Source organism: Homo sapiens, chromosome 21 (genome assembly GCF_000001405.40).
Source record: "Homo sapiens chromosome 21, GRCh38.p14 Primary Assembly".
NCBI classification, from domain to species: domain Eukaryota; kingdom Metazoa; phylum Chordata; class Mammalia; order Primates; family Hominidae; genus Homo; species Homo sapiens.
In genome coordinates, this window is record NC_000021.9 from 26,952,750 (window position 1) to 26,974,195 (window position 21,446).

Below are 21,446 nucleotides of genomic sequence, written 5' to 3' on the forward strand. Positions count from 1 at the left end.
CTTGACCTGTGACGAATCAGCTTCTGCCTTTCCAGGGACTTAGAACCTTTCTTATGGGACTCCTCTCACTCTGAATGATGGTGATTAATTACCAGTGTACTTTAAAAGTCTCCTCTATTTAATTACATCCTCCTGAGTATTTGGACTAATTCCTCTTAGTTTCCGGTGCAGATCGGAATGTTGCCTTGAGCAAGTCTCATGTTTCTTTCTCCCGCTTACGCAGTCAAGCACATACATAGATACGTAATAAATATTGATTAAGGTTCTGTATTAGGCTGTGTTTTTATCAGTAAGGATTAATAGGCATAAATGAGAGACATGATCCCTACCCTGGAGCCTAAATGGCATGTGTTATAAAGACGCTTTCAGGCTGACCAGTTCTTCTAGTGCAGCTGAGAAGACAGCCATGCCTCCTCATTAGCCCACTTTATAGGGAAGAAATGGAGACTCAAAGTATCTAAATCACTTGTCTGAGATAAAACAGAGAACCCAGAGACAGAGCTGGGACTCCACTCAGATCTTTGACTACTGAAGCCAAAGACGCCTAATCAATAAAACACTGAATTATTCTCAGTGATGCTATTGGATAATTATTTACGTTTAGGTTTTATATTTGTGTTTTTCTGCTTAGGAGGTAAGAAACGTGTCAGGAACATTAATGCCATACTTAAGAACTGACATTTAACTACTGAATTCTGTTTTACTGCGGCAATATTGTGAATTATGCAATTACACTGTACCTTGGATTAGAAGTTATTTAACTCCCCAAAGAAAACATAGCAGTTAGAAATGGATGCTTTGTGAAAATATTCTCTGCCTATTAGGAATGTAAAAAAGTAGTTTTAATTCCCATTTAAAAGTTATAATTTTAACCTTAAAAATCAAAATCTGTTTAAATCAAAATCTTTTTTGCTATAGATGGCAAAAGGTACCATAATTATCAAACCATGCTTTGCTCCCAAAAATGTGATGCTGAGTTGATACATACATTTCAAAAGCAAATGAACTATTTAGCTAAAAAGCAAAACATAAGTACATGTGGATATAAATAACATCTACTATCTAAACTCTACCCAATATATTCCCCAAAATAATTCCCTGAAATAGGCACTATTATCCCTATGTTTCAGATATGAAAACTGGAGCTCAGAGAGTTTAAATAATTAGACCAGTGTGACATAGGTATAAAGTAATTTAGCAAAAATTGGGCTCATTTAGGACTAGATGTTGGAATTAGACAGAAAAAAGTTAGACACAAAAAATTGTGTCTAATTCCAACATCTAGTCCTAAATGTACTAAGCCAATTTCTCATACACCTAGTAATCTAGGTCAATAATTAGGAAGCACATATTCTTTATTTTGGAAATATTTTTTAGCAATCAACTCAGTCCTCTATTTATAGATGTAGGATTTAGATGTGTTTCTTACAACAAACAAATTAGGTAAGTGACATTTTAAAGCAAACCCTGTTGAGTGTCAGGCTTGGCTTCCTTTCCTTGCTATTAAGAACAAGACAGAAATATTTACCATAAGCCATTGATGACCTTTGACAGGAGCCTACAATTATCACTGACAATGAAATAAAACATGTTAAATTTCTGTGCAAACTGATTAGCCCTGGATGAGCCAGTACTGTCTCCAGTAACTTCTAAGAAGGACATCTCTGCATACCAAAGTTGCCTGTGACAAATTTCATCCAGGGGTCATTTACGGATGCTTAAAAAGATAGTAAGAAGGCAGTAGCAGTAGCAAATTTCTCTTGAACTTTTAAATGACACTGTCAGAAGAAAACATCCACCGTGTTGCTGACTTTGCCTTCCCTGTCGCTCGTATTAGTTAACCTTAAAAGTGCAGATATAAACAAATTTAATTCCCAGTGGTACATCTGAACCAGGAGAAATCTGGAATTAATTGCTAAGTATTTTGGTTCCTGTTGCAGCTGTTACAAGTGTTTGATTTGGTGAGGGAAAAGAAAAGGCGCTGCATACCGATTTCGTGAGCCACAGTGAAGGCTGCGTGGAGGCCATCGTCTTCAATCACAGCACAGCTGCGCTCTGGAGAACATATGGTCCCAACGTCTGCCATTCCCAGGGTGTCACATGAATGATGCCCACATAAATCCTGCCCAGGAGAAAGAAAGAAATCATTAAAATCAATTTACATCCAGAAGGAGCCGCCACATAGAGCCACTTGCTTACCCCAAATGGCAACAGGGATATGTTTATGGTATCACCTGTTCCTCTCTGGAAACGTTCCAAAGGCAAACTCAAGGCAGAGACTCTTCTGAACTGCTCTGGGGCCCAGAAACACAGAAGGATAATGGAACTCAATTACATTTAAAAAGATGTCTTAGGATTGTAACTTGTCTATTACAATAGCACCCGCAGCTTTAACAAAGCCGTAATGCAGATACGTCTCTGATCACCTTCCCATATGGTCATGCTTAGGAAAGTCCTAAAATTCTGATGGAAATTCATGCTAAATTTATCAAAATCTGGCCTTATAATTTGTTTTCTATTACAGGGGCAAACTGCAGCCAGACGTCTGCAGCAGAGTATAAATTTATTAGAAATTTGGATAGAAAACTAAATTTTAATTCATAATTTGAGGAAAGGTCATCTTTTACTCCCCAAATGAGCTGTAATTTCATAGGTTGTGTCTTCTGAAATCTGTACCTTCTTACTCATAACATTTAATGTAGCATTTCTCAACCTGACCAATCTGCAGAAAATATATGTCATATATTAATTGTGTATACATGAATATATGCATTTTTCTGGTAAAAAGTCATAGTTTTTCATAGATGTCATGTAATCTTTTAAGAGATTCTCAAATAGGAACATGATTCCACCCCAATAATGGTGAAAAATGATCAATTTAGATGAAAGGGACCTCAACAAGCCTCTTGAGATATGAAACATAAAGAGAAAATATAAGCCGCAACTTTTTGACATGACAGATTCATAATGATAAACTTTCCCTTTAAATGCTATTTGAGTATTAATGGACATTAGCATTTCTTGTGCTTGACCACAATTTTCCATGAAAATTTACTAACAATGTGCTCATTTATATTCCCAAAGAGCAAGATCGTGTTTCTAGTAAGCCATAAGTTAGGAACTCTAAAAGGAAAAGTTTTAAAAATATACTAATTATTGTAAAGACAACTGTTTATTGGTTAAAATAATAAATGTTTCTATTATACAACAATCATTTTTGTATGCCCAACTTCCATATTCTCCAGCTTATATAGTAGGAACTCAGCAAACATTTGTTTCATTGAGTTGTGACCTACAGTCAGATACATTATAGTGCTCCCACATCTTTAATATGCTGTATGCCAGCAGGACCTCAGCAGGCTCCAGACAACCAGTACAAGGCAGTGTGACTACATAACCAGTGCTACATACTCAATGGCAACATACTCTTCTAACCCTTTGCTATTTTGCTGCATAAAAATCCTACCAAGGTGAAGAGTATTTAGAAACTCAGCTGTATTCTCTTCTCTTAACTTCATTCTCAGGTCCTTATTGTGTTCTGTTTATTATGAGTTCCCAGCTGAGATAAGTTACAGTGTGGCCACCAAGTTACTGTAGCTTTAGACACTGGAAATCTCAGCCAAGTAGCCTTGGTTAATCATGTCACAAAACCAACAGCCTTCCAAAGTTTCCTGTATATCCTCCCATGTCATCCCATGGGATGCCAAATTACAGCTGTTGAGTACAAATCAGTAGTTTTTCAAATTGAAATTGGAACACACTTTTGCATAATAATCAGTCTTTGAGATAATAATGTAGCACAATACATTTTTAAGCCCCTCCCCCACAATCATTTCACTATCTCTAGGACCAAAAACCTAGGTCATGCCTTAAGGGAGCTGCTAGACACTCTAGGTTATATCTGCACACATTTTTTTTAAAACAAGATTTATGTTTATATCACAATTTGGGGTATTTATCTTTAAATAATAAAATCCAAGAATTACATTTTCCCTTCTTACTCTATAAATAAGCTAAGATGAAGAGCCACAGCAAAGGGAAATGACCCTCCTCTTCTCGATAGAGATTAAACTAGATTCTTAATATCTCTCTGTTTACTGCTAATCAATTGCTCATTAGAGGCCATCAACCCTCCTTGTCATCCTTGAATTGGATTAAATGCATTTGGCCTTTTGCCACGGAAATGTGACAAAATTATGAACAGAAGCACTTGTTATTTTTTTAACCACACTGATTAAACTCCTTGACTACTCAGCCACACTATATATTTCTGTAGCTATAATTATGTAAACTGGCAACCTTTCCATTTCACTCACACAATTTCAAATCTTGGCAAACAGTTACAGTTTCAGCCTCAAGGCTTATAATGAACATCTGAATTTCTTTGTGAACAATGTTCATTTCAATGAATTAAAACTAATGTGCGTCAAATTGTTAAGAATACAGCATCTCGCATTCATGTCTACTTTCTGTTGATGATTTCTAACAACATTTATAGGTGTAAACCTTATTTGAAGTTTATAGAATACTTTCTTAAATTCTTAAATTCTGAGCAGGAGTAAAGATATTATTGGGGCAATAGTATATGTGTATATGTGTATACATATATACACATTTGCTATTATATATGTGTATGTATACACACACATATATGTGATACACGGATATGTGTGTGTGTCTATAGATAGATGGATAGATGATAGATAGATAGATAGATAGATAGATAGATATAATCTAGACCTGGAAGCAGGAGATACTGGAGAGATGTGAATCACATACAATACCATGTAAGAGGTAAACGAATTAAAAGTTCTGACAAAAGCTTATCTGCTTGTTCAGTGTAGATCTGAAGGTAAGTGATTATCTTTGTCATATCAAATAAGGCTTGTTTTATGCAAGATCAATATCTTATCACTACTGTGTGGACAGTAATGCAGTGGAAGATTTAGTAAAATATGAAGGTTGCAAAGGTTGCAGAGATTTATCTAGTGGTTTTGTGGTATGGTGTTGGCCAGGATACAAGACTGAGACATTGTATCTAACTCAGAAGTGTATTCATGGTGGTCTGCACCACCAGCAGAGATTCGATAGGAAGGTCATTGACACTGTGACCATTCACCAGGTATGACCTTTTAGGAGACTATAAATATGGCCAAGCTTGTGATTTATCACAGAATTTTGAAGCCGTAATAATACCCAAGATCTACTGGGCACTTCTTGGGGATGGGATGGGGGACAGGGAGCCAGTAAAGGATGCTGCCTTGAGAAGCAGATGCTCAGAAGATAGTGTGAACTTTGAAAATCCCAGTGGGCAGTACTGGGTGGTGAAAATGAACCAGTCAGACCCAAATGTCCTAAGGTGGACAAATCACAGGAATCATAGGATTTCTTGTCTTGACTGAGAGATTGTTTTCACATGCAGTGCAAATACGCTGAGGGAGGGAGCCAGAGGCAACACAAATGCTGACACAGGTAGATACCATCACAGCTGCAGCCACAGCAGCTGAAATTAAGGAAGAACACCTTATATCAGAGTTAAATAATAGCAACTTCTGTTTCTATAGATCTTACCCCTTGGTAAGGGCAAGCATGGAGCTCAAGGGAAGAGCACATACACACACACACACAAACGCATGCATATTTGTTCTGTGGATCTGATTCTTGATTCTTGAGGAGTCCTTTGCCTTTCTGGCTACCTATCCAGCAGTCCCCAATAATAGGGGTTTTAATTTTAGATTTCAGCAGAGACTACATTAATTGGAACTGTTATGCCAACCTTTACGATGACCCATTTTATACAATCTCTATCCTTGTCTCTTGATACACCTAAGGGATACCAAACACACAGAGCCCAGATGGATTAGGGTCCCAGAGATCCAGACGTGTTTATTCCTAAAACAATTATTGTGTGCCTACAATCTGCCAGACACTGTGGAAGTGCTGACACTGTGGTAAATAGATGAAATAAGATCTGATCCTGAGCTTTAGGGAACATCAGGCTCTAAGGAGCAAAACAGATATGTCAAGAACAAAGCAAACTGTGACTTCCATTATGAACAGATTGTTCAGGGAGAACAGAAGAGGCATTGATGAATTCTCCTTGAGGGAATCCATAAAGGTGTCTCCACGGAAGTGAGTGGATCTGATAGCCTGGGAGGAAGGATACTCTGGCAAGGAAGGACTAGTGGAAACATAATGGAATGGGAAAAGGCAGAGTCTTTTGGGAATGACAAGAAGTTTGTTTTGGCTGGAACACAGGATCTGTTGAGCAGAGGGCTAGCAGGGAAGCTGGAAAGAGAGTCTGGGCCCAGAGTTCCAAGTCAGGAAGCTTTCTCTGACAAATGTGAGGTAAGAAGGGGAAGAAGAGATGGAGCAAGTTGGAGACAGGGAGCAGGGGAGTAGATGCTTGACGGAGTCATTCTGGTAAAGAGAAATGGAAGCTGGTTAGAGAGTGAATGGAAGGTAGATTGCTTTTTAATTCAATGCTGTTAGTGAGAAGCACTGTGTAAATCATTTACATGCTTTGAGACAAAGTTCCCTCATCATTAACATCAGGAGTTTGGTCCAGGTCATCTCTAGGGTTTGTTCCAGCTACACATGTCCTGATATTAACTAAAAGCATTCCAATTTATAAAGAAATTAAAGCTCAGGGGCATTAAATGCTCCAAATCTCAAGTTTGTCCATACTGAAGCTGAAATTCAAACCTGTATCTAAACACTCAGAATCCTGAACTTACTTCACCATGGTTTTGTTAAGTCATCACATACGTTATTCTTGACATTAATCTTATCTTTTGTATTCATAATCTACACTTGATTAAGCAAATTTCTTTCTTGCAGCAAATAAAGAATATCCTGGTTTTCTCTCTATGCTGTGTTGGAAAAACTAGATAATTTAGAGGTATACTAAATATATGAAATACACTGTGAAAGATATTCCAGAAAACAAGAAAATGGAAGCACTGGATAAGAAAACTGGTGACATCATTAACTCGCCTCCTTCTCTCACCTGTCACATCTAATTAGCCACTGTAAGTCACTGTAGTTGTCCTCTATTTCTCATTTTTTTCTACTATTATTTCCTGCCTGAATTATAACCCGAGACTTCTAACTGGTCCCTTTTCCTCCTGTAACTTCCTTATCTATATGCTCAAGTCAGTCACCTTCTTAGAGCACAGATCTTATTAGATTCCTCCAGTCCTTCATGTCAGCCTTAGCCTGGCATTCAAAACCTGGCACACTACAGCCTCAGTCTTTCTGTCTGCCTCCACTGTACCTTCCTGCTCCATTCTGTCCACTATTTTGTGCATATCTCATGAATATTTTGGCCTCTGAAGCTCAGCCCAAGACATTCCTTCTGCTACAAAGAATTTTTACTCACATCCACCTCTTCCTAACATTTCTTGACCCAATCTATGCCTCTCAATTCCTAATGCCACTGCTTTAGTTTAGACCACCTTGAGCCTCCTCTTGAAGATTTCTGAAACAGCCTGCTCACCCAGGATCCAGTCCACTACTTAGACCAGAAGGTTCATTTCAGAACACACCTCTGATCATTGCTGTCTTCCTACTAATGTTCTTTTCAATGATTGCCATTGCACTTAATTTACAATTAAAACTTGTCAGCATGGTGGAGTAGACTGAATTGTGTCCTCTCCAAACTCATCTATTTGGAGATAGGGCCTACAAGGAGGTAAATGAGGTTAAATGAGGTCATGAGGACAGGACTCTAATCAGATAGGGTTAGTGTCCTTAGAAGAAGTGATACCCAAGAGTGTTCACTCTGTTTCTACTTGCAGGCAGTGGGAAGGCTTTGTGAGTACACAGTGAGAGGGTGGCCATTTATAGGACAGGAAGAGAGCCCTCACTAGAAATCAAATTGGCTGGAGCCTTGGTCTTGGACTTTCTGGACTCCAGAACTGTGAGAAGACATACTTCGGTGGTTAAATCCACCCATTGTACAATATTCTGTTACGGTGGCCTGAGCAGACTAGCAGACATAGTGTATAGTTTTGTTTTTCCATAGTTGGGTTGTTATTATCTTCTCCAAACTAATCTATTACCATTTCCCATTGAACATGATGGTTTGCTGATGTCTGCAATGCCTATCTCCTCCTTACGTATCTGGCTAACTCCCACTCTTTCTTCAAAATTGAACTCAGATGGAGTGAGCAATCTTCTAATGCACTTCCATAATACCTTACAAATACATCTACTGTAAGAGCCATCATGCTGTGCAGCAATGACCATTTCCCTGTCTGTTTCCAGGAATAGATTCTTAAGAAAGGGGCTACTTTTTAAATCTCTGAATCCCTCCTTGCCTACGAGGAGCATATTAAAGGTTTGAATAAATTAGTGATAATGCTTTTAGTTTAGAGAGCACTAGACAGGACTGTCTTCTCTGTCTGCCATTTGTTAGCTGTTAGTCTAAGAAGTTTATCTTTGTTTCTCTTCACATGAATTCTGTCAAGATAATTACACAATGGTTACAGATTGTTGAAATGATTAATTGTAAAATAGTTTGTGGCCATGGATAGTACATAAGAAATGCTCAATAGCAGCTGGCTGAATCTAAATCCAATCTATCCATCCTTTGAGGACCAATTCAATTCTACATTTGCAATGAGACCTACAGAAAGGTCCATAGGCAGAATTAACTGTTACCTTCCTTTTCCTTTCACAGACTTTGTTTATATCTCAGTATGGGATTTATCAGAGTTTTCCTAACAGTAGTGTGATTTCCACGTGTATCTGTTTCCACTCTGCTGGGGATACGCCTAGTGGGCAGGGAGCAGGTATTTCTACCTCGCTGCCTTAAACTGCCTACATGAGTCTCACACATAGGAGGTGCATGTAGGCAGATACTGCACAGATTTTAGATTTTTCATAATATCCCTCACAGTTTATTGTAAAAATGTTAATTAGAGCTGCTTAGTCTGCTACCAGTCTCCCCACTTCTGAGTTATTTATCCTTTTATTGATTAGGATTGACCTATAGGCTCTGATTCCTTGACAAGGGTTCACTTTTGACTTTAAATGAGATTTCAGCTCAAATATGTGACTGAATTAGTCCAGGCAGCAAGCCAATAAGAAAAAGCCCATCCCTCTCCCTCTTCCAAACTTCTGGTCTTCCTCTACTGCCCCCTGTTGTCAGAATCAAGCCAGGAGCCACGTGGTAAAGGAGAAATGCCGTGTGGGGAGACCCGGTCCCAGCAATCTAAGGCAGAATGTACAGAGTTTTAGCTGAGACAGTGATCTATCAACTGGCATATTGATAGTTAATGAAAGGGAATTATCTTTTTATATTGCACAATCTCTTAGTTGGTTCGATTTTAATTCAGTGTTTCAATCTATGAAAGAGTAAGGTTTTTGCTGCTTTCATGAAGGGGTGGAGGGATATTAAACAATTTCCTATTTTGTTATCAAGCAGGTAGGCTTTTGTTTCTAAAGAGCAAATGGTCTAAAAAAAAACGACTGTAAGAGTTTGTCTTTGAAGAAATTATCTTGAAATAAAAGAGGACGTCCAGAACAAGGAAAGGATTCTGGAAAGCAAAGCTAAATCCTGGGGAGATTGGATTTCTACTGTTTGATGGCAGAAGTGGTGTGAATTCCAGCATTAGTGCCATTTCAGAATGAAAACAGCTTTTATGCCAGGAAATTGACTGGTGCTAACTCTCTCTAATTAGAATAGTACTGGAGTGCTGGGTACAGTCCTGACAGTGAAGTGTGATCGTTTGATAAATGAGTTACTAGCTCTATTCTGCTGACTTCCAGATGCAACTTTCAAGGTGGCCTCAGCTAGTAAACAGAGGTAGAAAACATATCCTCGTACATTCGCTTCATGCCTAAAAAACAAGCAATTTAGGAGAAGACATCTGGACCTAAATTTGAGCAGGACTCAGAGCCCATCAAAACATGGATTTCATAGCTTGGCGTCTGGCTGCTAAGCAACGCACTTCTTACATTCAAAACAGAGTTGTAAAAGTAGAATCTTGGTGCCAACTCTGGGTATTTCTCATTGAAAAGGAAATAGCTCTGAAAGCTTTTCTTTGGGCCTTAAGATAATCTGATTTTCATGAGATGGAAGACCTCAGATCATCTCTCCTCCAGACTTCTTTTTTTTTTTCATGCTCTGAAGTATTAGGCAAAGTTCACTTTGCATTGTGAAATACTCTCAAATGAATGCTGCATAAATGCCTTGAAATTTTTTTCAACCCCCTAATTAGTAACACTCTTTTAAATTGGGCGCATCTATTGAAAATACACATGCATTTCAAATATTTGCTTCTTGTGAAGTTAGATGTGTATACTACAGGGCCAACCACAAATGAAATTTGTTTTCCTAAAAGTATGCTTCTGCTTGGCAAGGAGACCAGAGAGGGCCCATGTGAAATATTTTCCATGTGTAGACTAGTTTGAAAAATGCATGTCCTTATAATACTGACAAAAATTAAGATGGACCATTAATTTATTTGTCCCTTGCTTTGTATCTATTTAAAATATGCTGTTAAGTTTCAGACTTTGGAAAAATAGGGACAGTTAACTATCCAAACAAAAAACAAATTCGGAAAAAGTAATCGACAAATCATTGAGAATCACTGAGTAGTTTCCTGTTTTCTGGGAAACAATTAGGAATGTTATGGGGCAGGAGGTAGGAAGTAACAGACCTTCTATTAATTTTTATTTATTTTAAAATTATGAAATGTGGATTTGTGTTTAAAAATGAAAGTGAACTACTAAAATGACCCACTCCTTGGCGCAGTATGCTTACAAAAGTATTTCTTCCTCTTCCTTTAGAGAACCTCCTTCCATAAACTCTCCAAAGCCTCCTTCTTGGCATCCTCTTGTGATGTAGCAGAGCAAGGAACCCCAGACACGGAAAGTTGCTTACCAAAAAAAAAAAAAAAAAAAAAAAAAAAAAAAAAAAAAAAAAAAAAAGAGCTTGGAAACCTAACAAGAAATGGATAGTTTTACAGAACTTCATTTTGCAGAGAAGGCTACAAATGAATGTTCTACCGCTTCAAAGACTAATGTTGTGCAGAGGAATTAAAGGATGGCTTCCAGAAAATCACTTAATGAGGAAAAAAATGTTTTCCATTGTGCACAGCACTGCGCGCTGCTTGGCTCTCCCTAAACTGCCGCCCTCCAGCATCTTTGTTTACATGTGGTTTACATTAATGTCCACCCTATGAACCACAAGTGTTTCTCTACTCCAAATTTATCAACACTTTTCCTTCATACCAGGGGTGCCTTAGTAAAAATAGAAGAATTAGGTAGCGAAGCTGTGTGATTCTAAAGTCTGCAATCCATCATTTAATTTCCTATCCTTGTTCTGTTTGCTTCATTTCATACCATGATTTTACATAATACTTCAAAGTTTGTAATCCTTAATCTATTCTGGATGGGTCTCAAATACTTAAAGAATGAGCTTTAGAAGTCAATTCTTACCAGGCATTTAAGAGGCACAACTTAAAACTGCCAATCAGAGTCGAGTTGTGACAACTGAGGCTTAGAACTATGCGCAAGCCAGGCCCCAAACCAACCCAGACTTTTTGTGTAAATGTCACACTAACGTAGTGGTCAAATACTGTGTAAATAGATACTGCGTTCCTCCCTGAGCCTCTGAGCCTTAAAGATCCATTTCTTTGCTTCCCCATAACCATCTTTCTTAAAAGGGGGAAATGCTGGGAAAACATTTCTTCCTTCTGTCTTGACTCTTCGCCCAGATCTTCTGCACTGGGGCTTCGGAAACATATTCATCCAAAACCCAAACACGCAAACGGGATGTGACCCTCCCTAGGCGGCGGAGTTGGCCTGGGCAGTGCTTGCGACGCACTGGTCGACTAAGCAAAGGAGTTGTTAAGGAACCTCACAAGTTTGTCCTCTCATCTGATTGGGTCTCTGTACCCTGCTGGCCCGCCCACATTCCTTCCTTCCCAGGAACTGAGATTCCAAGGTGGACATGTAAGAACTCCATTAGGAATCCAACCTGGAAAAAGAGTCCTTGAGAAAGTTTTCTCATCCTCTGTGTAACAGAAGGGATTCTAGTAAAAAGGTGTGGACACTTACAAAAGAAGGTCATCGGATAACAGTGAGTACCGTGAGTGAACCATCCAGCCCTTTCCATTAGGTGGGACAAGGTTATATTTTATTTTCACTGGAAAGAAGAAGACCCATGATCCCAAAGGCAACTTTGTTTTCCTTCCTTTTCCCCATTTAACTGTATCATTTCCCCAAGCATCCTTGTGCCTTCTTATGTTTACGTTCCTATGCCACAACACCTCAGACTAGATGACATGCAGCACTACTGGGTCTTCATCATCACCTAAGCAAGTCTTGGCATTTAAGGCAAAAATTTCTGCGGGGCTAACGTGAATACAGGAGCAGAGTTGAAGGCTGGTTGGATTTCCTGCAAGAAGCAGTTAAACACATCCACAGCTGCAGGAGGTTTGAGGGAGAAGCAAAGCCACCAGCAAGATTCCCTTCTACCTACCTCCTGATATCAGCGCTGGGACCCCCGCATCCCGGCTGGACCTACCTCCCGAGTAAACAGGATAGCTGCATCGTAGTGCTCCTCATGGTCATCTCCCAGCTGGTTGTGTTGGTGCTGCCACTTGCAAAAGTTCTTGAGTGTGGTGGCAGCGTTCTTGCTCACTTCCAGGCTCTTGTCCTTGTCGCCTAGCACCACCACCTTCACCACGGCCAGGCGGATGTGGTTCTCGATGCTAGCATGGCTGTACAGCCTATTGGCGATGGAGGCCAGGGTCAGCAGGTAATGCTGCAGGCCCCGGCCATACAACCGCGCCATGGACGCGTCAGCCACCAGAAGCAGCTCCACCTGGCGGGCCCGGGAGATGGAGCGGCGCCGCCGCCGCCACCACGTCTGCGGTCCTGAGCCCCCAGCGGGCGAGAGAGCGGACTGGTCCAAGAGCTGCGAGGCCAGTGCTGCGCGTCCGCTCGGGTTGCTGTGCGCCGGAGCATGCTCGTGGGCCTCCGGTGTGGACGCGGGGGTTTCGCAGCTGGCGCGCGGCGGCAGGGCCTCGAAGCTGAAGCCCTCGCGGGTGTAGACGTGCAGGATCCGTGCGGACCCATCCCCGTACACGCGCCCCTTTTCTTCCTCCGCCCAGGGTCCGCGCAGCAGTGGCTTTAGGGTGTAGCGCGCGTGCTTGACCGCGAAGAAGCCGTCGAGACCCCCACAGAGGTCAAAGACAGCCAGAGAGCGGGGACTACCGTCCACTGTGCCCCGATAGAAGCAGTGGCTCCGGTGGCGCCAGGGCGCACTCGTCCCGCCTCCTGCGGGCACGAAGCCAGCAATGCCCACCGAACCATCTCGCTCCAGGTCCAAGAGGAACCTCCGGCCGCCCGCGTAGACGAGGTAGCCCACCTTGCCGCCGCCGGAGTAGAGTTGGTCGATGTTCTGCACCAGCCCCTTGCTCCTGCGCCGCTGCGCCAGGGGGTGCGGGTGGCCGGGAGGCTCGGCTCGCTCCTGCACCTCCTCCCCCTGCCGCCGGCGGGGCTGGGCGGCTGCTGCAGCAGTCGGAGGCTGCCCGGCTTTATCCTGGGCAGGTGTCGCGGCGGGGCCGACCGCGGCCAGGGGCAGGCGGAACGCGCACAGCAGCAGGGACGCCCACCCGAGCAGCATAGTGCGCTGCCCGCGGGGAGGGGCTGCGCGACTGGGACTTTATGGGTATTTGTTATTTGCTATGAAGTTAACGGGGCGGGGGATGGGGACACACACACACTTGCTTGCAGGATTGAGTCAAGTGTCGGAGGGAGGGGGGCCCGGCAGCAGCGCCAGCCTGTCCGGGCTGCGGTGCCAGCGTGCGAACTTTTCTTTGTTGCTTGGGAAAATGTTTGGATTCGTGCTCCAGAAAGAGGTGGGGTGGGGGGGGGGGGAAAGAAAAGATTAAAAAAAAAAAGTCGGATAGTGGAGATTCAGCAAATACGGGAAAAGGAAAAAAACAAAAACCAAAAAACCACCAAATGCAGGCACGATCGCTGTTTCAAGAAAAGTAAGGAAAGGTACCGCGCACCGGGCTGGCAACTGGTGCGCGCAGCCTCCCGCCCCCGCGCTGCGCTGGACAAGCCGGCTGTGGAGGTTCCAAGCTCCGGGGCCCACTTCCTTTCTTATTTTGTGGGTTTCCTTGGCTCTGCTGGGACCAGGAGGAAGGGAAGAAAGAGAGGGGAAAAAGCCGTAAAAATTAAAACAAAAATGCAGGGGGGCAGCCTGAGGCGAGCTGGTGAAGCGGCGTGTCTGTGTCCCTTCGGCTGCGGTCTCCTCCTGCCCGCCGTCATCCCCAGTCGGCAGCTGCGAGCGCCGAGAGCAGCGCGAGCGCTGTGAAGATGCGAGGAGGTGGAACAATGAATTTATAGCGGCATGCCATCCTGCAATGGCAATTTCAACAGTTCGTCACTGCACGCTGCCTCTTAAAGGGAGAGCTTCCCCCACCACTCCCACCCTTCCCAGTCCGCGCCTAATCAGATGGGGGAGGGCAAAAGAGGAGGGTGATCGAGGAAAGGGAGACGAAGTAGGAGGAAGGGACTGGGACCCGGCGAGGTGGTAGGAGGGGAGAGGGGAAAATAAAAAGTAATGGGGCAAGAAAAACAGATTTCCTTGGCCACTTTTAAAGCCACAGCGGCTCCGGGTCTGTCTGATATTTCACAACCAATTGGGGTTGGCTAACCTTGGCTTACCTCATCTCCTGAACGGGTGTTTTGGTTAAAGTTATTGAGACGTTTCAAGTCTCTCCCTGCCTCCTTCTTGCCTGCTTTTCTCGCCCTCGGTGGGAAGTTCCTGCCGCAAGTTTTTCCCCTTTGCACACCCGTGCGCTCTGGCCTCGCAGACCGTGCAACTCCATCCACCAGCCAGAGCTTTTCAGCTTCCCGTGCGTCCCCTAACCACCGCGTTCCCTTCGCTTCCTCCCCTCCGTCCCGGCACCCGGTTTCCTCCCTCCCCATTCTCCAGCCTCTTGATGCTTTGACGCTCGCCGGATTCGGGCTCCGGGTGACTAACTTCTCCCGGCCACCAGCAGAGCGGCTGGACAGCCAGAGAGCCCAGGGCGCTTCCTGGCGCGCTGCGGTACCCCGGGGCGAGAACGCCCGCCGCTTGGGAACTCCGCAGCTTTGTGTGCGAACGGCGGGCTCCCAGCTTTCTCCAGCACGCCTTTCGTCAGGGTCCACAATCTGTCCCTTACTCCCAGCCCACTGGAACTTCCTTTGCTCTAAAAAGGCAGAGCGAGAAAGAGTTAACTCTTAGAGGGAATTCCGCTCATTTTTTTTCCCTGAAAGATTTTAAAATTTTGCGCTCATACTTTTATTTTTTGCTTAAATGATACTTTAATAATAAATTCCTATATCTGTTTTTGTCTCTTCTAAAGCAACCACTTATCGCCATAGGCCTTGACCTACCTTCATTCTCAGAAATTCCTTTTAGAAGAAAAAGAATACTTTTGGCGGAAGGAAGATTGGTGCTTATTAGTACGCGGGTGACATTATCACTGCTACTCGTTTCCTCTGACCTCTTTGTTTCCTCTAATTATCATTCTAAGAAGGGAGAAGGAAAACCCGACGACTTATGGTTAGAAGGTCTACCTTCTACTGTAGGGGTAAGAGCTCCCTCCATGCCCAAATTATTCTTCAGGCTAATTAACTAATGCACCAGTGAAAAATGAATGTGGTGTAATTTGTACATTTCCATCTTTTTCTACGTTTAACTTTGGCTACGCTGGGGATAGCAGGGCGGGTGCCTTAATGGGGCCCCAAGCTGATCGCTTTCTCTGGGAGGGAACCATGAGGGTCCAGAGCTTGATGGAGGTTCTTAGAGTGGCAATAATCCTCTGGAAGGAATTTCAGAATTGCCCGGCAACAATACCCATTGCCGTGTGCCTGGGAACACCCTCTGGAGTCTTGTGAGGGGCAGATGTATCATCTTGTTTTAACTTATAAATAAAGAAATCACTGGGGCCTTAGGGACACCCAACAGCCCCTGATAGATTCTGAAATACATCAGGACCAGGGAGGAAGTTACTATTGCTGAAGGCCATTGCTTTATAATTCCACAATGCCTCAGCCTCTCAGTGGCCAGTTGACCCAGGCCAATGCTAACAGCTGGATGGGTCAGAATAGGAGGTTCCAGCCATTTTCTCTATCCCACCAAGGCCTTTGAGCCTTGCATTAGCCGTTCTCTTTTGTGGTCCTTGCTTTGCACCTACAAATAGCAAACTTTTATCTTTTTAACCAGTTACAGTGAAAAGGAGTCCAATATTTGGCACTAAACACCATTTCTAATACAACCTTGATTCAATAAATTTAACAATTTTGTCATTGTTCATGCCAAAGAATCATTTTAATAGGCATTTTAGGTGACAGTGGTTAAAATTTGTTAATTACAATTATTTTCATTCACAGATAGATTTTGTTATTTAGGATTTCAGGAAATTCCAACAGATTCTCTTTTCTTTGATGGTCTTGAACTCATAACCTCCAGGGATTCTCCCACCTGATGAGACACAGTGACGGCTTGAATTTTCTTCTTAATGAAGCTTTTCTCCTCTTTCACAAACACCGTGCTGAATCCTGAATCTGAATATTATGCCTTTAAGTTTAATTATATAGTGACATTTGTACTCAGTTTATTCAAATATTTAAAAATACATGGGGAGAACAGGATAGACACAGATAAAGTTCCAAACATGAATATCAAGCACAGAATATTTACTAGAGGTATATATTCACAAGGAAATAAATACTAAATCTTATGAATACAATGAATAAATTCTTACATCTCAGAAAATTTCTACTTCGATATAATTTTTTTTTTAGAAAGTAACTTGGACACTTTGGAAACTTCATTTGGTAGTATTTTTAAAACATTACACTAGTGGATTAGGATGAGCTGCTACGTTGTGGAAAAAATTACTATCTGTCACTCTAAGGAAGTAATTTGCACTGGATAAAAGTAGCTGAACTTTTTATTTTTACAGTAGAAAGGAAAAATATATTAGCAATCATGTTTAAGCAGAATAACTGCTACTCATTCAAAGTAACAGTTTTATTTGTGCACATTTAATGAGAAATTTCCACTGAATTTATAGAGTATATGATCACAAATACCATGATAGATGATTTTACATTTCCTAAAAGGAAGAAGGACTTACTACTCCAGAATGTTATAATTTATCTTGGAGATCAGGTAGGGCAACTTTCTCCATCTAACTGTGAAAAGCTGAGACCCAGAGGCCAAAATGGCTTGCCTGTGGATAAAAAAGTCCACTAGTGGCCGAATGTCCTGAAACCTAAATCTCCCAGCTCCTAATTTGGGCTCATTCTACAACACTTCTTACAATGTATCCAGTTTAACAAATATCTATCAAGGTCCTACTGCAAAGTGCTTTATGAGGCTCTCTGGAGGCATGAGAAGATGAACAAGTCATGAGTAATGTCTGGAGGAAACTCACAGTTTAGAGATGGAGCCGTTTGTATAATAGATGCACAGAATACAAACTGGAAAATACAAATATAGAGGGGGAGAAAGCAAGAGAATTACTCCTGCAGGTGCTCTGAGCCCTGTATTTCCAATATAGCTCCACTCCATAATTTGTATACTCTTTTAAGTAGCATTTTCTCAAATTTCCATTTGCTAAAGTGTCATTTCCTACCCCCCACCCCAAACTATGATTTTAATGGTAAGAGTGAGGAAATATCTGACAGTAAAATATTCCCTTCCGGCCAAACACCTGCTCCTTACCTCCCATGTAGAAGAATTACAGTCTTTCAACTCTGCGTTTTTCTTTCCCACATCAAGATCCCTACCCTAGGCCTGCTGAATTGGAAACCCTTTTAGTATCGGCACCCTTGGTGGTAGCAGGGTGTGTGGATTCTATGGGTAAGATCTCCACTACTAAGCTCCACTACTGCGTGGGACCATGAATGAATGCCTTAAAGACACTGGGTGAGCTTTTCCCTTTTGTGACACTCGCTTTGCAAATTCTCGTTTTTAGAGGGCTTTGCTTCAAAACCAAAGGTCACACTTTGGGAGTGATTCTAGCTTTGATATGAACTCTTCATTTTTAGAGGGTGAAACTACACTTAAATAGTCCTTCTTCCCTCCTTCCCCAGCTCTTTTTCCCCCCGTCCATCCCCTCTGATATTTACAATGGCAGAACATGGACCCTGATGCACTAATGCATGTGTACCCAATCTCATATGCATTAGTACACACAGCACATGTCAGCATGCATGTGCCACACACGTACTCACTTGAACTCATGTTTCCCTCTAGGCTGCACTGATGGCTTGATAGAAATCCTAATTAGAGCTCAGATAATAGAAGAGGGGATTAAACCAACCATCCTCTGCCTTTACGAAGAAAACTTTCTAGAGACCTGCATTGTAGAGATTCTTTTATTTTGCCCCTCGGGAAACCTTACTGAATGCCTGATAAAACTCGAAACCATCTTCTCTGCTATCTGATTAGGACATATTACAAAACAATCTATCTATTGTGATGGATAACATATGCTTTAGAATCTGTTTTACTTAATATTATAGAAAATATATTTCTAGAAAGCCAGATTTTCATTTTTTATACACAGTAATTTTATACTATATAGAAGTCTTCAAATGAATAATGTACATATGTATTATTTAAGACATACAGGTGTTATCTGTAAAGTAAAACCGACAAGTCATTTTTTATGCTGACCAGCTGTGAAATGTTGTTTTAGCTTTTCTCACACAATTATGCACATATTACTTGCTTTTATGAGTTACTTGAGTTCTATTTTTCCTTATTTTCCAAAAATCATCAAAAATCAAACCTTACTAGAAACACATGGAAAATCAGGAATTTCCAGCAGAAAGTAATTTGAAACATTTGAGGTTTTCTTTCCCTTCCTTCATAATGGCAAATTTCAAGCAAAGTTTTCAAATTACTTAATGAGTAGTAGCTGTAATTGTAGTAGGAGTTGTTTCTCGGTTCTATAATTATGTATATATATTTTTACAGTTAAGATTGTATCTTAACATCACCTTTCTCAAGCTCTAAAATATTATAGTCTTCCTCAAAACTATTTGGTCTCTCCATGTTAAATACATTCTTCTGGTAAATAAGGTAAGAACTGGAAGTAAGTTCACATAAAGCTGATAAATATCAGTTGGTTACAGTCTCACCCCTGGCAAGTAGGGAAATGGAAACTGTAGCTTCTTGATCAATGTAATTATCTCCTACCCATGATGTTGGGGTCATTGCAAGTTGCTTATGTGGTCAGTGGAAGAAAACATACAGTTTCTTTTTTCAGACTCTCCATACACTATTACATACCTCTCTCATACACACCTTTCCTAGTCAGGGACTAACAGGTGGAAGAGCAGTTATCTGTGTTACACTCCTAGACCTGGGTTCAAGTAAATACATTACAGGTTTTTCTCACTTTATTTGACTTAGGAGGTGTTGCTCTTCCTACGTCTCTGCTTCTTACTCTTTTAAATCAAGCTGGAAAGAGGAAGTGACAATGCACTGTCACTTACTGGCTGAATGATGATTTGATTCTAAGTCCCAGGAAGGAACCCTCTTCCAGGAACTCACCATCAACTCTCCCCCTTTTCTCCTTCCAGCTGGCCCAACCTGGACCTGTCGGAAACTTCTCCTTCACCACTATGCCCCAGGGTCCCAAATGCCCCAGGATCCCAAAAAGATTGCCACCTCTGACCTTTGAAAATATGAGCATGTGAGCTTGAGGCAGCAGGAGAAGAGGAAGTGGGCTTTGACTGATTTACAATTCAGGGAACTAACTCTTGCCCATAGCTTCTAGTGTGGTTCTTTCCAAGAGCCAGACTACCACTTTTGCTCCTCTCTTTTTCTCATTTCAGGACCCTCTTCCAATCCATCTATACCCTGTCCGGTTTATGTTAGTGACAAAACAAGACTCCCCCATCCTTCAAGGAGGTGGAGCATCAGAATCTTTTCAGAATAGGGGTGGAGAGGAAAGGATTCAGTTGTGGTGCCCTCATTTGTGAGACTCGAGCCCTTGTTCAAAATCATCTTCTCAGATAAATCCCCACCAGATCTGCCCAGAAAGTTTATCAGACCCTCCATGGCCCATGTCATTTTGGTTCCAAATGTTTCAGGTGACTTTTGAATTGCAACTGAAAAAGTTATTCTGATTTTTGACATTATAGAGTTCATTATCGACAGCTGGCTATAAATTACTAAATTTATAATTAACTATATAATCCCTGGCTTGTTTTTTTGCACCTCAAACTCACACTTATTTCTGATAAGCCTTAATCAAATAGGCAATTATTTCATTCATCTATTAGCTTAGTAGGTGTCTTCCTTTCTTTAGGAAATTCAGATGAGGAAAATGGTGCAGATTGAATCTAAGAAAGGTAGAGGTATTAACATAGGGAAACTAGCCAGTATGACACAGAGAAAGCCTCTTACATATGTTGTATAGCTAAATTCCAGAGACGTTCCGGAGAATCCATAAATAACTTTAACAAATTGCTGGTTTTCAGAGCATTAAAGAGCAAAGTAACCTGATTAGAGTCTCTGCTAGCTTCCAGCCAACCAGTTTACCTTCCAGAAAATGCAAAACAGTGTCTTGAGATTATGAGATTTTTTTCCCCTCTTTTCTATCATAAGTTTCATTTTTGCTTTTGATTGTTGGCAGTAGTCTGATGGTTGGGTCCCTCCTACATGAGTAAACTTTTTGCATGCTAAGGATAATAATGTCTCAGAATTATTTTTGGCTAACGTCTCTTTCTTCTTTCCACATTCTTTTCTTTTCTTTCTCTTTTTCTTTCTGTCTTCACCATAGAATGTATGTTCTATGAAACCAGGGACCATGCTTGTCTTCCTCACCACGGTATCTCCAGTTTCTAATTCAGTAACTAGCAAATTGGAGGCATACATGGACACATGTAAAATATGCAAAACACATATGTTAACTATTTTTAAAATTATGTATGTGGGTGGTTACTGATATTTTCCTGTTGCTCTTCTTTACCATCCTTGTCTCTGGTAATAAAAACACACCTTTCCAAGGAAAGTCAATCCACATGTTTGAATAAAGCTGATGGCTTTCCTTCAGATCTGGATACTGGATACCGAGCCTGACAAGTCAGAGTGCCCCATACATCTGGCCAGAGCTGATGGTTCTGGGAAGAACTCTGCCCACTGGACATTTGCTCAAACCATTAGCTGAAAGCACTTTTCCTCTGGGATCAGACAATCTAAGGATCATGTATTAAGAAGGAAAGTTGAACTGCTGTAACAAATACCTTTAAATTCTCAGTGGTTTCACATAAAGTGTATTCTTTGCTCCTGTCACTGTCCCCTGTGGGTTGATGGCCAGCACAGTAGTGATCCATGCAGTAGGAGCTCAAGCTTGCTCTATCCTGTAGTCTTTCCCCTCAACTGCCTCCAAGGCTGATGCAGAAAGAGA

General features: G+C 41.6%; 2 protein-coding genes and 1 non-coding gene across 4 annotated transcripts in view, besides 1 other annotated feature; 1 reads left to right on the forward strand and 2 right to left on the reverse strand.

Moving 5' to 3' along the window:
- ADAMTS5 (ADAM metallopeptidase with thrombospondin type 1 motif 5) overlaps window positions 1-14,339 on the reverse strand; it is a 49,167-nt gene extending 34,828 nt beyond the window's left edge. For both annotated transcript variants that reach the window (XM_047440680.1, NM_007038.5), the window contains exons 1-2: window positions 12,539-14,339; window positions 1,990-2,122 (exon numbers count right to left, since the gene is read on the reverse strand). In XM_047440680.1, coding sequence (XP_047296636.1) covers window positions 1,990-2,122; window positions 12,539-13,642 — 1,237 coding nt within the window. In that variant the 5' untranslated portion in view covers window positions 13,643-14,339. The remainder of the gene's footprint in view (window positions 1-1,989; window positions 2,123-12,538) is intronic.
- On the forward strand, window positions 1,212-1,294 carry MIR4759 (microRNA 4759). Its single transcript, NR_039916.1, has one exon. It is a non-coding gene; the product is annotated as a microRNA 4759 (primary transcript).
- Window positions 1,259-2,685: an enhancer, noted in NCBI's record as "VISTA enhancer hs1684". NCBI's record gives its function as "enhancer in: somite[5/6] | midbrain (mesencephalon)[3/6] | dorsal root ganglion[5/6] | trigeminal V (ganglion, cranial)[3/6]" and the evidence as "EXISTENCE:transgenic organism evidence [ECO:0001131][PMID:17130149]".
- LOC124905050 (uncharacterized) lies at window positions 13,907-19,246 on the reverse strand. Its single transcript, XM_047441063.1, has 3 exons — window positions 19,171-19,246; window positions 14,695-15,221; window positions 13,907-14,335 (listed from the first exon to the last, which is right to left on the reverse strand). Exons 1-3 carry the CDS (start codon window positions 19,244-19,246, stop codon window positions 13,907-13,909), a joined length of 1,032 nt encoding a protein of 343 aa, XP_047297019.1.
- Between the last annotated feature and the right edge of the window lie 2,200 nt (window positions 19,247-21,446).